This window comes from Homo sapiens, chromosome 7 (genome assembly GCF_000001405.40).
Source record: "Homo sapiens chromosome 7, GRCh38.p14 Primary Assembly".
Lineage (NCBI taxonomy): Eukaryota > Metazoa > Chordata > Mammalia > Primates > Hominidae > Homo > Homo sapiens.
Window position 1 is genome coordinate 82,960,163 of NC_000007.14, and position 18,197 is coordinate 82,978,359.

At 33.2% G+C, this 18,197-nt stretch overlaps 1 protein-coding gene across 7 annotated transcripts in view; it reads right to left on the minus strand.

Annotated features, from left to right (window-relative positions):
- The window catches only part of PCLO (piccolo presynaptic cytomatrix protein), a 408,873-nt gene that overhangs the window by 206,151 nt on the left and 184,525 nt on the right, over positions 1-18,197 (minus strand). For all 7 annotated transcript variants that reach the window (XM_017012006.3, XM_047420211.1, NM_033026.6 and 4 more), the window contains exon 4: positions 5,609-6,325. In XM_017012006.3, coding sequence (XP_016867495.1) covers positions 5,609-6,325 — 717 coding nt within the window. The remainder of the gene's footprint in view (positions 1-5,608; positions 6,326-18,197) is intronic.

Sequence of the window (18,197 nt, forward strand, 5' to 3'; positions counted from 1 at the left end):
ATTTTCCATTTATTTTGACGGGCTAAAATTAAACAATGAATGCAAATCTTCAATAATTTACATAAAGTTTACATCAATGCAGATTACTGATTTGAGTGTTTGAAACACTCCAAACAAAATTAAGCCAATAAAATTCACTGGACCTGGAGTGAAAGATCGGATGCTCTCATCTAAGCACTATAATATGGGAGTCCTCCTCACTACAGAAAACATTATTATTTTTCATCGTTTCTGATTAGGCAGCCACTTATTGGCTATATGTAACTTGAATACTAACCCTCATATCATTTTAACCAGAAATGAAAGTACCTGCTAAAGAATGTTCCAAGTTTGGTTTCTATGAGGAGAGTATTTTCGTGTACTATATCAAATAAAGATTTAAACAGTATTATGTTTGTGTATATAAGTAAAAAGATAAAATTCTATAGCAATATGACTTTTAAAATATTAAACTAAAAATTTAAAAATGTGTATGTAATTTTCAAATTGTTATACTTCAGGATTAATTTTAATGCTATTCAACAAACATTTTGAAAGATAGGAATGAATGAAGTAATAAAATGATGTGGCAACAAAGAAATGTAAACAATGTACTATAATAATATGAACGACACAAATGACAGCTAGATGAATGATTAAATAATACACATATATAAATAGAGTAAAATATTATACCAAGTGTTTGGTATAGCAGTGAGGGTTGCTAAGAGAGATGGATAATTATAATAATGAAAAGGCAGTATTCTAAAAGTGTCATAGGAAAAAACATCTTGTGCAGTGGGTGAGGGCACAGTCTTTGTAATCAGAGATGGACTATAATTCTAGTACTTCTGCCTTCCAGCTATGTGATCTTGGGCACAGAAATTCAGTTCCCCCATCTTTACTAAAGCTATCATAATATTAACCTTATCAATAATTGTATAAGGAAGTACTTAACATAGCAGCCAGAATAGTAAGAGGTAAATTAAGAGTATTGTTTTGACTGTAAATAAAAACTAATTAATAAATTAATCATTGCAGAAAATTCTGCATCAGGAAAACTGACTACCACTAGGGAACAGAAGGGCAGACTCATGGAAGTCATGCTAGCAAAGTGGTCTGGAGGTTCAGGTGGGATTTTTTCTGACACAGTTGATGTGAAGGTGCAGCATCAGTGCACGTAGAAAAACTGAGAACAGGTTCAGAAAGGAGAAAGCACAAGCTTTGTTCAGGAATCACACAAAGGCATATTTGGCTGTTTTTCTTTAATTTCTCCCCATGGGGAATGTTAGCGGTTGCTTGAAAGTTGTGCTGGAGCCAGATTCCAGAAGGCTGAGAAAGCCAACTAAGCCATTTAGACAGGAGTCTCCACTGTGGCGTGCACATACCCTGGAAGCTATCTATGCAAAGTGCTTCAGTGGAATACAATGAGAAGACACTAGGATTTTAGTTGTATTTTTAAATCCAAAATACAGGATAAATTAAACTGCACTAATATTTAATCAATAGATGGACAATACTATTATCTTACTTGTCATGTCAGTTGGTCACATGGTCTGTGAGGAATCCTGGGAGAAGGCTGGAAGTTATAATGAGGCAACCAACTATAAAGAGAAGTTACAGTGAGGCAACCACTTCACTTGCTCACCTTTACGTTGAAGTTTATTGTTCAGTTATGCAGATTTATGGTTTGTAGTTACAATAGATCACCTAGTTTTAACTAAACCAGCTTTCCTATAATAGCTAAGTAGTAGAAAAAAATTCTGCAAAAAAAATCATTTGTTAAAGATCAAACTAGTAATGTAAGAAATACACACATGCACTCACAAGAAAGTTGACACTTTTCATATTGTTACAAGCTTTTCATCAGTTTTCATAACAAGGTGAGAACAGTGATCATCAAATTAAATCAGATCTGACTTGAAGTTAGTAAAAAATGCTTGACATTATCAGGAAAGCTATTTGAAATCTGTTTCTGCATCTATTATTGCTAATAACAAACCTTACCCTAAATATAGAACGTGCTTTGAATCAAAGCCAGTGGTATTATGACACTATCACAAACCTCTGTAATTTTCAGAAAATAAGTTTTCTAGTACTTTATAAGTTTTCACTAATTTCAATAATAACCATCTGGAATCTTCTTTTGAATTTTCTTTCTCAATAAGAAAAATCACATGACAGATGGGGAAATGTTTTTTATTTTTGGCCATGAAAAAATTACTAAAGTAATATGTGGAATCAATATAGTGACAAATCAAACTACATTCCTTTGTCAGCAAATGTTGTTGGAAGAAACAAAGAAATAGTTGTGGAAGGTTTGGGAAAAATTATTAGAACAAATTAAGTAGCAAAAGATCTAATAATAATATAACCCAACTATGGAGATTTCTTTACATACTCAGTTCATAATATTCCCTGTTTCTCTTAAATTAATAATAAAATAGTTTAAGAATTACTATTGTGAACCCTCAAGGAAAAATGTACCAATGAAGACATAGCCTCAATGTAGAGTGATTTGTTTAATTCAAAAAATGTATATTTTTTAAATAAAAAATATTAAAAATTGAGAAGTAATTTCTCTGATTGGAATTATAATTTTAAAGAATAAGGTTAGGGAGATGGCAGTACATGTGAAAAACATTTATTCATTACAAGTAAGCCAGAATTAGACAGACTGCCTCAAGATATTACTGATATAGTACACTGTATACTAATAAGACCTTTATATTTTGAAGAATATTTATTTTGTACTGAGACAGAGAATATGACATTATTTTTGACCATGACACAGATATTTACTGTTTACCTCATGGAAAATTAGTTAAAAAGCTGCAGAATGTGAAGATTTGATCCTTTCTTAAAAATAGAGGATTGCAAGTGTTTTTCAGTAATACAATACTTATTAGATAGCAAGAAAATAAACACTAGTTGTCAGCAATATGCTGGGTATTATATATTTAAAGCAAAATAAACAATACCTGTTTCTTTGAGAAAATTATAATGTGGAAACAGCTCTTTGAAGATAAATATTTGGAAATTATCATATGATTATGCTATACAAAATAATGTCACTTTGAAAAGTTATCATGTCTGCTTATTTAACAAACTTTAAAACAGAATATTTTAATCTGTTTAAAAACCTTCTAGACAAAGAAATGCAATGGGTTTTAAAATCATTTGTTGAAAAAGTATTTTAAAATCCCCACATTTTCTGATAGTTAACAAACACAAATGATTGGTATTAAGGAAGGTTAACACTTATTTGTGCGATTGCCAATTCTTTTTTTCATAATTGGTTTCCAATCCACACTTAAAAAAAAAGGTAGCAATACATAGTGAGAACAAACTGTGAGCTACTTCTTTCATTTCTAGCATGTACTTTTTAATTATCTTTTTTTCCTGCTCTGAATAGCCATTAAAACTGAACATCCAAGCATCAAAATAAGCTTAACTTTGAAGCTGGATTTCAAATAACTGTATCATAAAATTGTACACCAAGATCTTAAAAAATATTAAAACATAATCAGTGCTCTCTCTAAAATATCATTATTAAACACCTTTTAAGGTGATCAAATGTATCTGTATTTACTATCTGCATTTAAATAAATATAATAACAATGGTAATTTTAGTTTATGTCACTGAGTTATTCTCTATTCTTTGTGAATGTTTTATAAGGTAAATATTAGTAAAATAGTGCATACATAAAATTTATAAATACATATACACATATTGAGGTTGTATAACGAAAGAAAAAGTATAATAAAAAGAAAGTGAAAAAGTTATAAAATAAAGGAAAAAAGTACTGCATTCAGGAAAATATTTGAAAACTTCTTGTTTGGAATATATTTAAAACACAATAGGGAATCATTAGGAACATCTGAGTGATGGAGTTCAATTATCTGAACCCTAGAAAACATTTACCTGACAGCTATAGACTGGAGAAGGGAGAAAAGGAAGGCATTCTAACCAGTAATTAGATTGCTCAAATAATTGGCAAAAGGTCATGAAAGCAGTAAGTAAGGTAGTGCCCTGAGGAACAGGAGTTAATAGACAGAAGTGTGATACCTTCATTGTGGAGAACAAAGGACAGGTAAGAAGAGACCTGAAATCACTCAGAAGATGAGTAACTGGGAGACAGGAGACAGGTGCTTGATGGTGAAACAGAAAGTTACAAGCAGAAACTGTTTCTACAGAGAAGTGGAAAAGAGTCAGACATATTGAGTTTGCATTTACAGAGAGGCTTTGAAGTAGAACTACTGACTAGGTACTTGAAAATGCAGGTCTGACACTCAAAAGAGGGACAAGAGGTACATAAGTGGATTCAAAAATTGTTCATGTAGCTCCCATAGGAGGAACAAAGACAGAACTCAAAACAAAACAAGGAAAATCATCTGGACTTTGCAAAGATAAATCATAGAGATAGTCAAAGTAGATTTCATAAAGTATGATCAGAAAGACAAAAAGAGAAGGAAAGTAGAGGGCCATGAAAGCCACAGAAAGTTTCACAAAGGGACAAACAGTACCAAGCATCAAGCTCTGCAAAGGTTAGCTGGAAGAAGCAATTGGTGGTGGTGGCGGTGGCTAGATTCAGTCATTAGAATGGAGACTATATATAGGCATCTTTTTGACTCTGATCAAACTCATTTAATGAAAGGAGACCAGGATTTACTTAGACAATGTGTGATGCATCAGATAGCAGAGATGGGTTGGTAAGCATGTGTTAAAACTGTAAAGAAAACACAATTGAATCACAGTGAAACAAACTATAGTTTCTAGTTGGAATTTTAACACTATTAAATTATTTAATTTCCTGGTAAGTCATTGCTGTCCTCTGTGAATTAAACATATTCAATTAAGTATAATGTAAGATCTCTTACAGCTCCAAAAAATATCAGAGTTCCACTGAAAAGGATGTAACTGCTTGTGAAAATACTGGTTAAAATGGGTTAAATGAAAATTTTCCATTAAAGAAAAAGAAAAGAATATTTTTCCAAATTATGCTGATTATAAATAACCTTTCAATATTAAACACATTGAATAAAACTGCTAACAGATACATTATATTAAAAATCATGCTAAATATTAAACTGCTTTGTGAAATTTTAGAATGACTTTTGCTTTGGATTTTAGTTACGTCATTTTTTTTTCCTTTTTTCTTTTTTCTTTCTTTCTTTTTTTTTTTTTTTGCAATCACTTTATGGCTGACCACACATTAAATAAAACCTTGTTGACTCTTACGTAAACAAATGGTTAAGTAAACAGAAACTTACATAAAGACACATTACTTTATGTTAAAGGGGGATATTGATTTTTATATCCATAGTAGAGAAAATAAATAAAACTAGATAACTTCTTTATCACTCCATATGATTTTGATAGATTATTTGATAGGCATAAGAAACAGGGAAATAAATGTGGTATTTATGCTTTATGTAAACTTCATAAAGCTGTGAAAAGACCAAAGTTCTTCATTATAGTCAAACAAGTGTTATACTTCTTTAAGAATGTCATTCATTGTTTGAGGAACTTCACTTATATAATTACCATTGAGCAACTTGTATACTTAGGTTAAAAATTAGTAATTTCACACATGAGAGTGTGAGAAGTTAGTAAAATTTAACTTACTGTTTTTTCTTTCCCAGGTTCCACCTGATCAGGTTTTGCTGTGCATGGTGGCTGTGGCTGTTCTTTTATTGTTTTGGTTGTCTTATCATCTTCTTTAGGTAAACTCTGAGGTGTGCCAGATGGTAAACCTTCCATCTTGGTCTGTGGTTGTTTCCCTTCTTGCACTGTCTTTGGAGCCACTCTGCCTTCAAGCTTTTCTTCAGCAATTTGTACTTGAGATTTAAGTAAGTCATGTTTCTGTTCTTCTGGGGCTGATGTTTTTGCCTCTGGGAGTAGCTTTTTGTCTTCAGGGGTTGGCTTTTTTTCTTCTAGGAGTGGCTTTTTTTCTTCAGAACGTATCTTTTCTTCTTCAGGGATTAGTTTTTTTTCTTCAGGGAGTGGCTTTTTTTCTTGAAGAGCTGAAGCTTTGTCTTTCTCTAGTTTACTCTCTTCTTGTTTTTGATCTGTGGTTACCATAGGAGGAATTTTTTCCATTGATAGTGTTTCCTTTACTTTTTCCAGAATGACTTTTTCAGCTTCCGTTTTTACTTCTTGTTCTTGCTTTTTCACTAATTTTACTTGGGGAGGCACTGCTGTTTTCTGAGATGATGATTCTGTAGGAACAGGCATAGGAGATGCTTTGGGTCCTGATGGTGCAGGTGGCATTTTGCGTATGTCTCCAAGCTGTCCTGATATTGCTCTCTGGGTTTGGCAATTTAAACAAAGCCATTCTTGAATCTGTGGGAAAAAAATTACAATGAACAGATTGAATGTATTATAATGTATCTGTTTCTGTGATTTTACCAAAGTGAAAATTTGGCAATTCCTATCTGCTGTTTTTGTACATGGAGAAGGTGGGTCACTGTTTTCCAAATCCAATGACGCAGTAATTTTTTAAAACATTACAAAAAGGCTATTTGAACTGTAAAACTGTATAGAATTTCTAGAGACTAGCAATTCACTATCTTCATTAAATGAGAAAAAGAAAGAGAAATAATTACATTAAACGTGGACCCAGAGAAATATTCATTTTCAGGAAGAAAAAAAATCTGCATTTGTTCCAAATAAAATTATTTTAAGGCCTGGCTTCTTCAAAATTAGTATTTTCATCCAAAATTTATTCAAAGACTATTATATTTCATAATAATTATCTTTATAATAACCAATTAATCAAAAGTTCTTTTAGGATTTAGCCTATTATCTCCTATCTCTTGACTTGGGCCAAATATAGTTCTACCTTTCAGAGTAGAGCTTTATAGGTATAGACAGTTTTCAAGAATCACTTGTGCATAATCCTCTGCTTCCAGATTATGAACATAATCTCATTCTTAATACTAATCACATTACCTCATGCAGTTGAATAAGAAGCACTCCAAGTCTCAATTATTTGGTATCTTTTTCCCTGAGTGTCCTGATTTGCTGACTAAAACATTTTCTTTCTTCTTTTCTTTTTTTTTTTTTTTTTGCCCAGGCTGGGGTGCAATGGTGCGATCTCGGCTCGCTGCAACCTCCACCTCCTGGGTTCAAGCGATTCTCCTGCCTCAGCCTCCTGAGTACCTGGGATTCAGGCACGCGCCACCCATGCCCGGCTAATTTTTTATTTTTAGTAGAGATGGGGTTTCTCCATGTTGGTCAGGCTGGTCTTGAACTCCCGACCTCAGGTGATCCGCCCACCTTGGCCTCCCAAAATGCTGGGATTAGAGACATGAGCTACTGTGCTTGGCCAAACATTTTCTTATATTGCTGCTCTTCAGTGTCTAAGCCATGGTCACCCGCACTAAATCAACTAATAGGGTCTTTAGACATACAAATTCCTAGGAACTACACCAAAAACCATTTTAGCAGAATCCTGGGAGAGGAAACAGGAGGACCTGCCTTTTTGATAAACTGGTTGAGAATTTTTGCAAAGTAAATACTAAAAACTACTCTCTGATAAGAATATAGAACAAATGATCACCTAGGAGACAAATTATGTTAGAATAATACTATTAAAGAATTCCTCCCTGATTGATGTGTGTTGCATTTTTTCTTACATTATATCTATTCTAATGTTAAAAAGTAAAGGCTGTGTATGTAGTTCTAATTGTTACCACTGAATGTGTACCCATTCTGTAAGGCACAGGGTTAGAGTGTCATACAAATAATATTGCTTTCATGCATTACATTGTGCTCTGAGAAGTTCAGTTTCAAATTGCTTTTCATGCTGGCTCACTCTTTCTAGTTGCTTATCTTAAAGTATTTAGATAAAAAAATCACTTATTGCTCTAGAATACTAAAAGATATCTAAGTTTCATTTCTTACTTCAGGTTCCAATTACTTTAGAAACTAACAATGTTGCTTAATAACTATGATTATTTTGCAATCTGTAAGCCATTATAATTCTTATTTGCTGATCTAAAAGAGTAAAGACAAAAGTCAATTCTGTAAATGTGGTAAAATGCTGCCAATAAAATATTAGGATATATATGGATTCATTTGCTTTTTGTGTATATAATCACTCAATATCAATTCTCTTGTTAATTTCATGTCTAAGGAGCTCTGAAGTGAATTGTGTGCCTTCTTTAATTAATGTTTTTATATAAAAGTCATTGGAAAGAAGATTTGATTCATTATGTCAAATGCTAAAAGTTCTAGCTCTTGTGTTGAACAGTCCCTGAAGGAAGAACTTCCATAATACCTACAGAAAATCAATCTTAATCTATAACATGGTTTTAAAAACTATTACTTGGTTGAACCACATCTTAAGAGATTTTCATTCAGAGTCTGACTTTTTTTTTTTTTTTTTTTTTGAGATGGAGTCTCACTTTGTCACCAGGCTGGAGTGCAGTGGCTTGATCTTGGTTCACTGCAATCTCTGCCGCCCGGGTTCAAGAAATTCTCCTGCCTCAGTCTCCTGAGTAGCTGGGATTACAGGTACACGCCACCATACCCAGCTATTTTTTGCATTTTTAGTAGAGACGGGGTTTCACCATGTTACCTAGGATTGGTCTAGATCTCCTGACCTTGTGATCTGCCTGTCTTGGCCTCCCAAAGTGCTGGGATTACAGGCATGAGCCACTGCGCCCAGCCCCAGAGCCTGACTTTTTAAAACACAAAAACAGATACGAATGGCTGCATTACCGTGCTGATTTGCCACATGGATTCTAAAAACGAAATACAGGTGGGTATTAAGCATCTCCATAGGCTATGTTCTAATATAAATAAGTTAGAAAATTTTAATATACCAGAAATATAGGTTTCATGCCATTGGAAATTTTTGTCATTTAAAGAAGTGAGACTATTCTATCTGAGATGTTGGGACAGGGACAAATTATTCTTAAAAAATTGCCATCTCTTGCTACTTTACAGCATATGAGGCCACAATGGTACATGGCTCTTGGCACAAGAAAAATGTGTTGAGAAAATAAAACATAGCAATAATTTCAAGGTAGTATACTCATTATTTTCCTATAATTTGAAATTTAGGTATGAGGATAAAAGGTATCATCTATGTAATCTATTTTGTCACATAAAATATTTCATTGTCCCAATTTAAAGTAATGCTTGGTAAACCTATAAAGTGGTGATAACCATTAAACTACTAAGGTTTGTAATGCAAACAGAAGGCAATAGTGTAAATCTGAGCAATAAAAGATCTTATCCTGAGAGCCTCATTGGCTATTTCAAATTAATGTTTTGCTTAAATTGCCATCCATGTTCAGTTAAACCTAGCATTTTAAATAATTGCTATTTTGCAATTATTTTTAACATAATGTTGCTATACCCAGTCTCTTGGGTGCATGACTAATTTTCATTGTGAATGAAAGAAGGCAGCCAGCCTAATTCTTCTGAACTTACACTCTGACTAATTGTCACCAAAATTAATTTGGAGCTGATATTTCTATTACGTCAAATAATGACAAAATAATTCATTCATATATCTATTCTGTATGTATCTATTTGGTTTATATCTATTGGTTGGAAAGTGCATATGCAAAGGTTATTTCATCAAGGGACCAACATTCAAGTAGAAGAAATAAAGCATGGGTGAAAATAAGTTAAATATGCAGTAAAAACAAAGAGACGGAGATATTGTGTTGCAATGCAGAAGAGAGAGATACCACTTCTAGTTAGATATTTTCCAAGAAGGTTTGGCCTTAAAATAGATATGTTAATAAATTGTGAATGTGAAATAAATCTATTTTCCCAAAAATATGTCTTGTCACTATTTGACATAATAGAAATATGAAATGAAAATATCTATTCAGATTCGATAGCAATCAGTCAAAATGTAAATACAACATCAGGCTAAGGCCTTATTTCATTCACATTGAAATTCAATGATTAAGTTAAGAGATGAGGCACAGCAAAAATCATATAACATATGCCTGCAAAAAGGCAATGATTAAAAACACTAGATTTGACCAAATCTAGGTAAAAATTAAACAATAAACATGTTGCTTAGCTGTAAGGTAATGGAAGATAAAGTTGAAGAGGCAAGTTGAGATTCTCTCTTAGGTGGCAATTATTCCCAAATAAATGACACTTATTGCCATAACTAGACATTTTGTAGAAGAAACTGTAATCCAGTGAAGGTTTCTGTAAAGGAGTAAAATCTGCTTCTTTAAGATCAGGCCGGCAGAATGTGGTTACCTACCTATGTTGGTAAAAATTAAATCTAGAGGCAGAAAGAAACTATTAGAGGAAATGGAAAGGATGGAATGAATACAACAAGATTATCTGAGGAATTTAGTTTGAAACATAAGGAATTTGATAAATTATAAGCCACAAAAGAGTATGTTTTTCAACAATCAGAAATGCTAAACTGGTGGTCTCATATGTGTCTCTTCTCTTTTCTGCAGCCCTAGAACCAAAAATAAAATGTCAACAAATTCAGCAAGCAGAGGAAGTTATAATGTCAATAAGAGTTGAAAGAGAACAAAGCCCTAGAGTAACACCAAAAATTTTACATTTCTTTAGATATATAAATTCAAATTTTGTTTATTAAGGGGGAGCATAGGAGTATCATTGGAGGAAAATACAGAATCTAGGTAAAATACAAAGAGGAAATGAGAAAAGAAAAATTGATCAGGTTTTTCACAGTGAGTAAAAAGAAATAACAGTAAATTTCCAAGAAAGTTTATTTTGGACAATATGGGTCATCATCATTATCATATCATCATCAATTATAAACAAACTGACCAGAAAAATTTGCTTCTCCCAAAATTTTGGAAATACTCTATAACCTAAACATCTGTAGGTCACAATTTTTTTTCATTCTTTAACAAAAATAATCCAAAGATTTTTGTATCAGTGTATTCAGGAATTTAATTAAGAAATATTGTATTTATAGTTCCAAAAGATGTTATCTATACTCTTAGTTCCTAAATAGCCACACCATGACATTTTCATATTGTTTCTGGTCCAGTAGCAACCTGGAAATCAATTAAACAAAATTATTTCACTTACGTAACAACTCAATGTATCAATGCCATGTATGACTTTTACTTGCTGAAAAGATTTAGCCAGATATAGCATTAACTCTTCCTGGAACAGTTAGAATTGTGATACGCATGATTATTCATATTTTGCCTTAAGGTTAAGTATCAAATGAGTTATAGTTTTATCTTTGAAATATCTTCTTATAAATATAGTAAGACAACCAGCAGTTTTATGTGTATGTGTGTGTGTATATATATGTGTGTGTGTGTATACATCTGTAATACACACACATAAAACTGCTGGTGGTCTATTATATCAAATTTTATATATATAATAAAATTTCATTCTATATGTGTATAGATATAGATCTATCTATATAATCATATAATATATATCATGTTATATAATATATAATATATAATATATATGATATGATATATGATATCGTATAGATATATATGATAAAATTTCATTTTAAGGTGCTGTTTGCAACATTTCTCCAATTCAAATTTGTTTATTACTTTTAATGGAAAAAGTAATGGAAAAAGCCACAATTACTTTTGTACCAACCATATATATATATATATATATGTACTGAGAACATCTCTATTGTATTACTGAGTTTACTACATAAAAAATTACAAAATATAGATGCTTAAGGAGGCTTTAAAAAAACATGCTAATCATCCTTGTGGATGCTTTAAGACTGCTTCCATTTTTTTTCCGGTGATTTTTAAATATATTTTGACTATGCTATTATAAGTATCATCTAATGGTATAAAGCAATAAAAGTTTATGTTTCATCTATGTTATCATTAAATATAAACAAACTCAGAGGCCTCCAAATTATGAGACCAATCACCGTTTATTCAGTGCTATAACATTAATAATCAGGGTATCAAAATTCATCTCTAAGTAGGAAACATTCTGACAAGTAGAATATGTAAAATAACACCATACTGATCAGAAAATACTCAAATTTATTCAATTGTCAGCTAGTACATGTTAATAAAACACATTTATTTTAACATCAATTCACGAGAGCTTGTTCAAAACAAAACAGTGTTCAAAAAATCCATTCATCTTAAGAAGGAAAGTAGAAAATGAAGGCAATAAAAACCCAGAGAAGGGATGCTACTGTGCCACTCAGCATTTTTCCATCAATAAGCAATTTGCTTTATATAACATTTCAGCTGTAACTATAGCAACAATCCCATTAAGGAGAATCTCAGAACTTCAGGGCTGCCTATTTATTTTTCTAAGGATCTTTTCCAAAGCATAATAGTAAGACTTGCAGCAGGTTGAACAGGTTGAAAGTTTGCTTTTAGACTTAAAATGGTAAGGAAATGGTGGTCACAAAACCTACGTGAACATTCATATTTGTGTTGGAGAAATCTTCCAAACACTACCTTAAAATTAAATTTCATTAAAGGTCAAGTGAAGTGATTAGGAAGCTTGTATCATTTCCACCCATAGAAGTATGTAGTCAAAGACTGGGTAGGTCATGTCTCAAAATTCTGTAAAGAAATCCAAGCAATCAAGGAGATTGGTACTATTACATCAAGTTCCCTGCCCACTATGAAGCTTTTGACTCAACACAAATTTTACACTGGTTTTCGTTTATCTATTTATTTGCTTATCATTTGGGGTAAAATTTAAAAAGAGAAATAATTACAGTAATAAACTGCTTAGAATTCTCCTTTTTACTTATTGACAAATACACCAATTGGGGAGCAATGTTACCCGTAACTTGTCATTTTTATCAATGTTATTTACAATCTCGGCAATATGGTGTTCTATTCAACTCAGATCCACGCATTTTTACAATTCAATGTGACATTCTGATAATTTTTTTTTTAGTTATAAATTCATTCCCTTTATGACATCTACAAAAGGGAGAAGGATTGAATTCACAGTTGACACATTCTTTTTCCAGACTACACAATCGATTGTTCAGACTACAAGATCAGGACATTAGAAATCTATAATCAGTCCTGAGACTGCAGTTTATAAGTATGCATAATGATGAATTTGAGATACTTCTATGCTTACTCCGTCCCTTCAAAAAATAAATGAAATGTGTGTCAGGTCCTTTTATCATTATATTCTTTTACCGAGGCTGTGCAGCTTCATTCATATTTTGTTTCTTTTAAAACCACTGACACCAGAATAATTCATGTTCAAAATACATAATTGAATGATTGAGGTTCTTCCTCATATATAGACATAAGATTATATCAAATTATATTAGAACATAAATATGTATATGAATACAGTGTTGAGAAATAAAAATAGTCAACATAAAATACTAATTTCCAGTTGAATTGCTGAATTGAAGAATATAAATACAACCTAATACAATACAGGTACTGTTAGAAACTTGTACTAGAGTTATCATTCCTAGGTAAAAGGTGATTAGTGGTCATGCCTACCCATCTCTTACCTGCATGCTTATTTCTGCAAGACCTCACACTTCTGTATAACAAATGAAGTCTCTTTGTTTCCCTCATTAGAAACTTGCATTCAGCAGAAGGCAGATTAAAAAAAAAAAACTTGCAATGTAGGTTTCTGTATAATGTAAAATACATTAACAGATATTTCCATAAATAGCAACATGCCAACTAAAATTATGTATATTACAACCAGATATTAAAACTGTGTGTAGAATATGATTTCATACTCTTGATTGATACTCTTTTTGTGTTAATTTTTACTAAACCAGAACCATGATTCTGGTTGCTTTCTTATCAAAATTCATATACTTTTTTCTGAAACTAATGATCTCTGAATTTTCGATGTTTTCAATACTATTACATAAATAACACATAAATGAAAACTTGCTCTAATTTAAATATCTGTGAATTATTACATTAACACAATTTTAACAGATCTGAAGAAAATCATATGCTTAGTTTTCTTTTACAAGATATATATGGCTGGGTGCAGTGGCTCACATCTGTAATCCTAGCACTTTGGGAGACCGAGGTGGGTAGATCTCTTGAGGTCAGGAGTTTGAGACCAGCCTGGCCAAAATGGTGAAACCCCATTTCTACTGAATGTACAAAATTAGCCAGGTGTGGTGATGGGCACCTGTAATCTCAGCTACTTAGGAGGTTGAGGCAGGAGAATCATTTGAACCCAGGAGCTGGAGGTGGCAGTGAGTTGAGATCACGCCACTGTGTGATTCTCAACTGAGTAGACTACCTGATCTGAGTTTAATCAGAGTTATTAGATTAACTGATCATCTACCAGTGTGTGTATAAAGGACAACTCCAAAGGCACAGCTGATTTCTCACTGGTAACCAATGATGCGCTAAACTTATGGGTAATCATACAACTTAATGCATTGATTTTAGCTAACTTTAGCGGAAATATAAGACTTAGAAGAAAGGCTTATCTATGGGTTCATAGCATTTTTTGTGATTAATTTTTCTAGTGTACTAGGTTTTAGGCTGATAGCTATTTATGTATTATAAGTGTGGTATAAAAATAATCAATAGTTTTAAAAATATATCATTTATGTTTTATGTGCGTCAAGTTAATTTTTAAAATGTAATCAGTTCTCATCCCTCTGCTCTTATAGAGGTGTATTTTGGTATATCTTTTTATTTTATTTTATTTTTTTAGAGACAGAGTCTTGCTCTGTTGCCCAGGCTGGAGTGCAGTGGTGCAATCTGGGCTCATTGCAAGCTCCATCTCACGGGTTCATGCCATTCTCCTGCCTCAGCCTCCGGAGTAGCTGGGACTACAGGTGCCCGCCACCATGCCCTGCTAATTTTTGCATTTTTAGTAGAGGCGGGGTTTCACCGTATTAGCCAGGATTGTCTCGATCTCCTGACCTGGTGATCCACCCACCTCAGCCTCCCAAAGTGCTGGGATTACAGGCGTGAGCCACCGTGCCCAGCAGGTATATCTTTATTATAAAATCTGTATACTGATTTTGCATGTGTGAATAATTACATCAAAGCAAAAAAACTTAGACTTAAGCCTAAGTTAGTCACTAGTCAGCACTACAAGCAATGAAAAATTGAATTTTAAAACAAAATTTATTTAAAAGATCTAAAGCACTTCATTATAGGGAAATTTTATGTTTGTTAAGATTACAAAGAAATATGCATTTGGAAGACAGATCATTTAAAACACACTGCAGCCAAATGAAATTTGTAGAACATGTTACAAGATAAAAATCAATCCCCTCACTTATAAATTTAAGCCTCATTCTGGATATAATATTTAAAGACAGAATAATTTCACAGACTAGGGAGTCTGAAATGCATAGAAGGTGGGTCACACTAGACTGTCTAGATAATGCAGAATGGATACTGGTGGTGGGAGAGATTGGTTAGGTGTTAAGCCCTCCTGTGATGTGGTAGAACACAGTGCAATACTGTAAGCTCTTCTTGCAGGGAAGAATCAGTATATCGATTCTGCAGGGTGTAAACTTGTCTAGGTTGAACTATGTTTCCCAGAATCATTTGCCCTAAATGTTTCCCGTTACAGTGTACAGTATTGTTTGGCTCTGTGTCCCCACCAAATCTCATTGTAAAATGTAATCCCCACGTGTGGAGGGAGGGACTTGGTGGGAAGTGATTGGATTATGGGGGCAGTTTCCCCTATGCTGTTCTCATGATAGTGAGGAAGTTCTCATGAGACCTGATGGTTTAAAAGTGGCAGTTTCCCCTGCACTTTCTCTCTCCTACCACCTTGTGAAGAAGGTACTAAATTCTCCTTTGCCTTCTGCCATGACCGTAAGTTTCCTGAGGCATTCCCAGGCATGCGGAACTGTGAGTCAATTAAACTTCTTTGTTTTATAAATTACACAGCCTCAGGCAGTTCTTCATAGCAGTGTGAAACTGTCTAATACAGTTTATCACAGGAAATATTTTGTATGGGATTTGGCAGGTAGTAGAAGCAAAGCAGTAGCCATACTGGGTTTTGTATACCCAGAGAATCTGAGCAGGGTCACTAGGTGCTGTTAAAGGTTACCCATGTTGTCAATTATTGTTTGGCTTGGGATAGGAAGCAGGAATGCAGCTAATCTATTTTCCTCTAGATTCTCCTTCAGCTTGTCCATAGGCATTTAGCTTGGAGTTCAGTGAGAAGGGACAGGCATTCTGACCTGTCCTCATGGGTTCCAGCTTGTCCATCCTCTCCCCTACTTTAAATTCTTTCCTTCCTCTGCCTGCCCTTCAGACTTAAGCTCCAGCAATCTTCAGCAATCACTTAACCAGCTTTCACAACTGTGTATGAACAAATCTCTATACCAAATCTCTTATTATATATATTTTAAACTTCCTAATCATTCTGCTTTTCTGATTAAAATCTAAGTGATACAGTCAGGCTGAGTCAACTTGTTATTCAAGGGATGATAATTTTTTACACTTTTATCCATGATTGTTGGTGTGTATGCAAAGTAATTCTAACAAACTATTTTGGATATTAACTTGCATGACCAAGAAAGTGCATTTTACTGGAATTTAAGAGAAATAAGAACTGTTTCAATCAGTGTAACATGCATAAATAGTCACTTCAAAGGTTTAGTTTCTAAAAAAAAAATATGGTGAGCTATTTCAGTCATCAACATAATTTGTGACATGTCAGATGACTGGTATGTTAATTAGCCTGATTTGATCATTCCACAATGTTCACATCTATTGAAACATCATATTGTACCACATAAACATATACAATTATAATTGTTTATTTTTTCTTTTTGAAACATTTTTATCATTTTTGTAGAGATAGGATCTCGCTACGTTGCCTGGTCTCAAACTCCTGGGCCCAAGCCATCTTCCAGCATTTGCCTCCCAAAGTTCTGGGATTACAGGTATGAGCCACCACACTTGGACTAAAATTATTATTTGTAAATTAGATATAAAATAAAAATTCGAAAAAATTTTTAAAGGAGTGTATATTTACACTCACCCACTATCCACTGAAGAAACAGAACAGTGCCAATATTATCTAATACATTGGTTTGACACACCCAGGTCCTGTTTTCAATAACATCCTATTATATATCCTCCAAGAATAACCACTATTTTAATTTTTGTTTTGTTAGATCTTTGTTCCTTGATATGGTTTTAATACTACACACTTTTTTATATTATTTACTTTTGTATATTTTTGAACAATATATGAATAGTTCTGTGCTTTTTTTTTCCTTTTTCTGTTTTTTCAGTAAACTGCCTGAGTGCAAAATTCATCTTTTTTATTTATTTATTTATTTATTTATTTATTTATTTATTTATTTATTTTTGGAGATGGAGTTTTGCTCTTATTGCCCAGGCTGGGGTGCAATGGTGTGACCTTGGCTCACACAACCTCTGCCTCCCAGGTTCAAGCGATTCTCCTGCCTCAGCCTCCCGAGTAGTTGGGATTACAGGTGCCCACCACCACACCCAGCTAATTTTTTGTATTTTCAGTAGAGTCGGGGTTTCACTATGTTGGCCAGGCTGGTCTCAAGTTCCTGACCTCAGGTGATCTGCCTGCCTTGGCCTCCCAAAGTGCTGGGATTACAGGCGTGAGCCACTGCACCTGGCCCAAAATTCATCTATTAAACAAGTGTGGGGCACAAAGAATAACTTTAAAATGAACACCCATGAGCCATTGATCCAATTAAAGAAATGAAATATGACCATTACTTTTGAAGCTTCTTTCAAACTCATTTCTTTATATCCTCCTTTGAGTTAACTACTGTCCTAAGTATTATGTTTATCATTATGACACTAAGGGGCTTATTTTTGGCCTGTGTGTTTGGATACCTTAGTCTTTTGTTTCCCTGTGATTTTGGAGTCAGAGTTGCAGAGTATCATTTTTCATATATATCTTTTAAAATCAAAGTATTTCCTAAAATTAAAGTTTTAGTACCATTTGCAAGGTATTGCTAATAATAGATAAACATAAATATATAAGACCATAGCTAGAAATAGGTATTATGAGAAATGAGAGTTCATGACTCACCTGTCATTTTTTTTTTAATATTAGAGAGACCCCCACCCCCCCGGCAAAAACTCTGTATGAAACTCAGGTTATGAGCCACCAATGTATACTCTCTTCACCAGGAAAGTTTTAAATTAAAAAAAAATGTTGTAAAGATCCTACAATCTGGGCAATTACAGATTGCTCAATTAATATGGGGCTAATTGTTAAAAAAATATGATTATTAAATATTCAAACAGGAAGATAC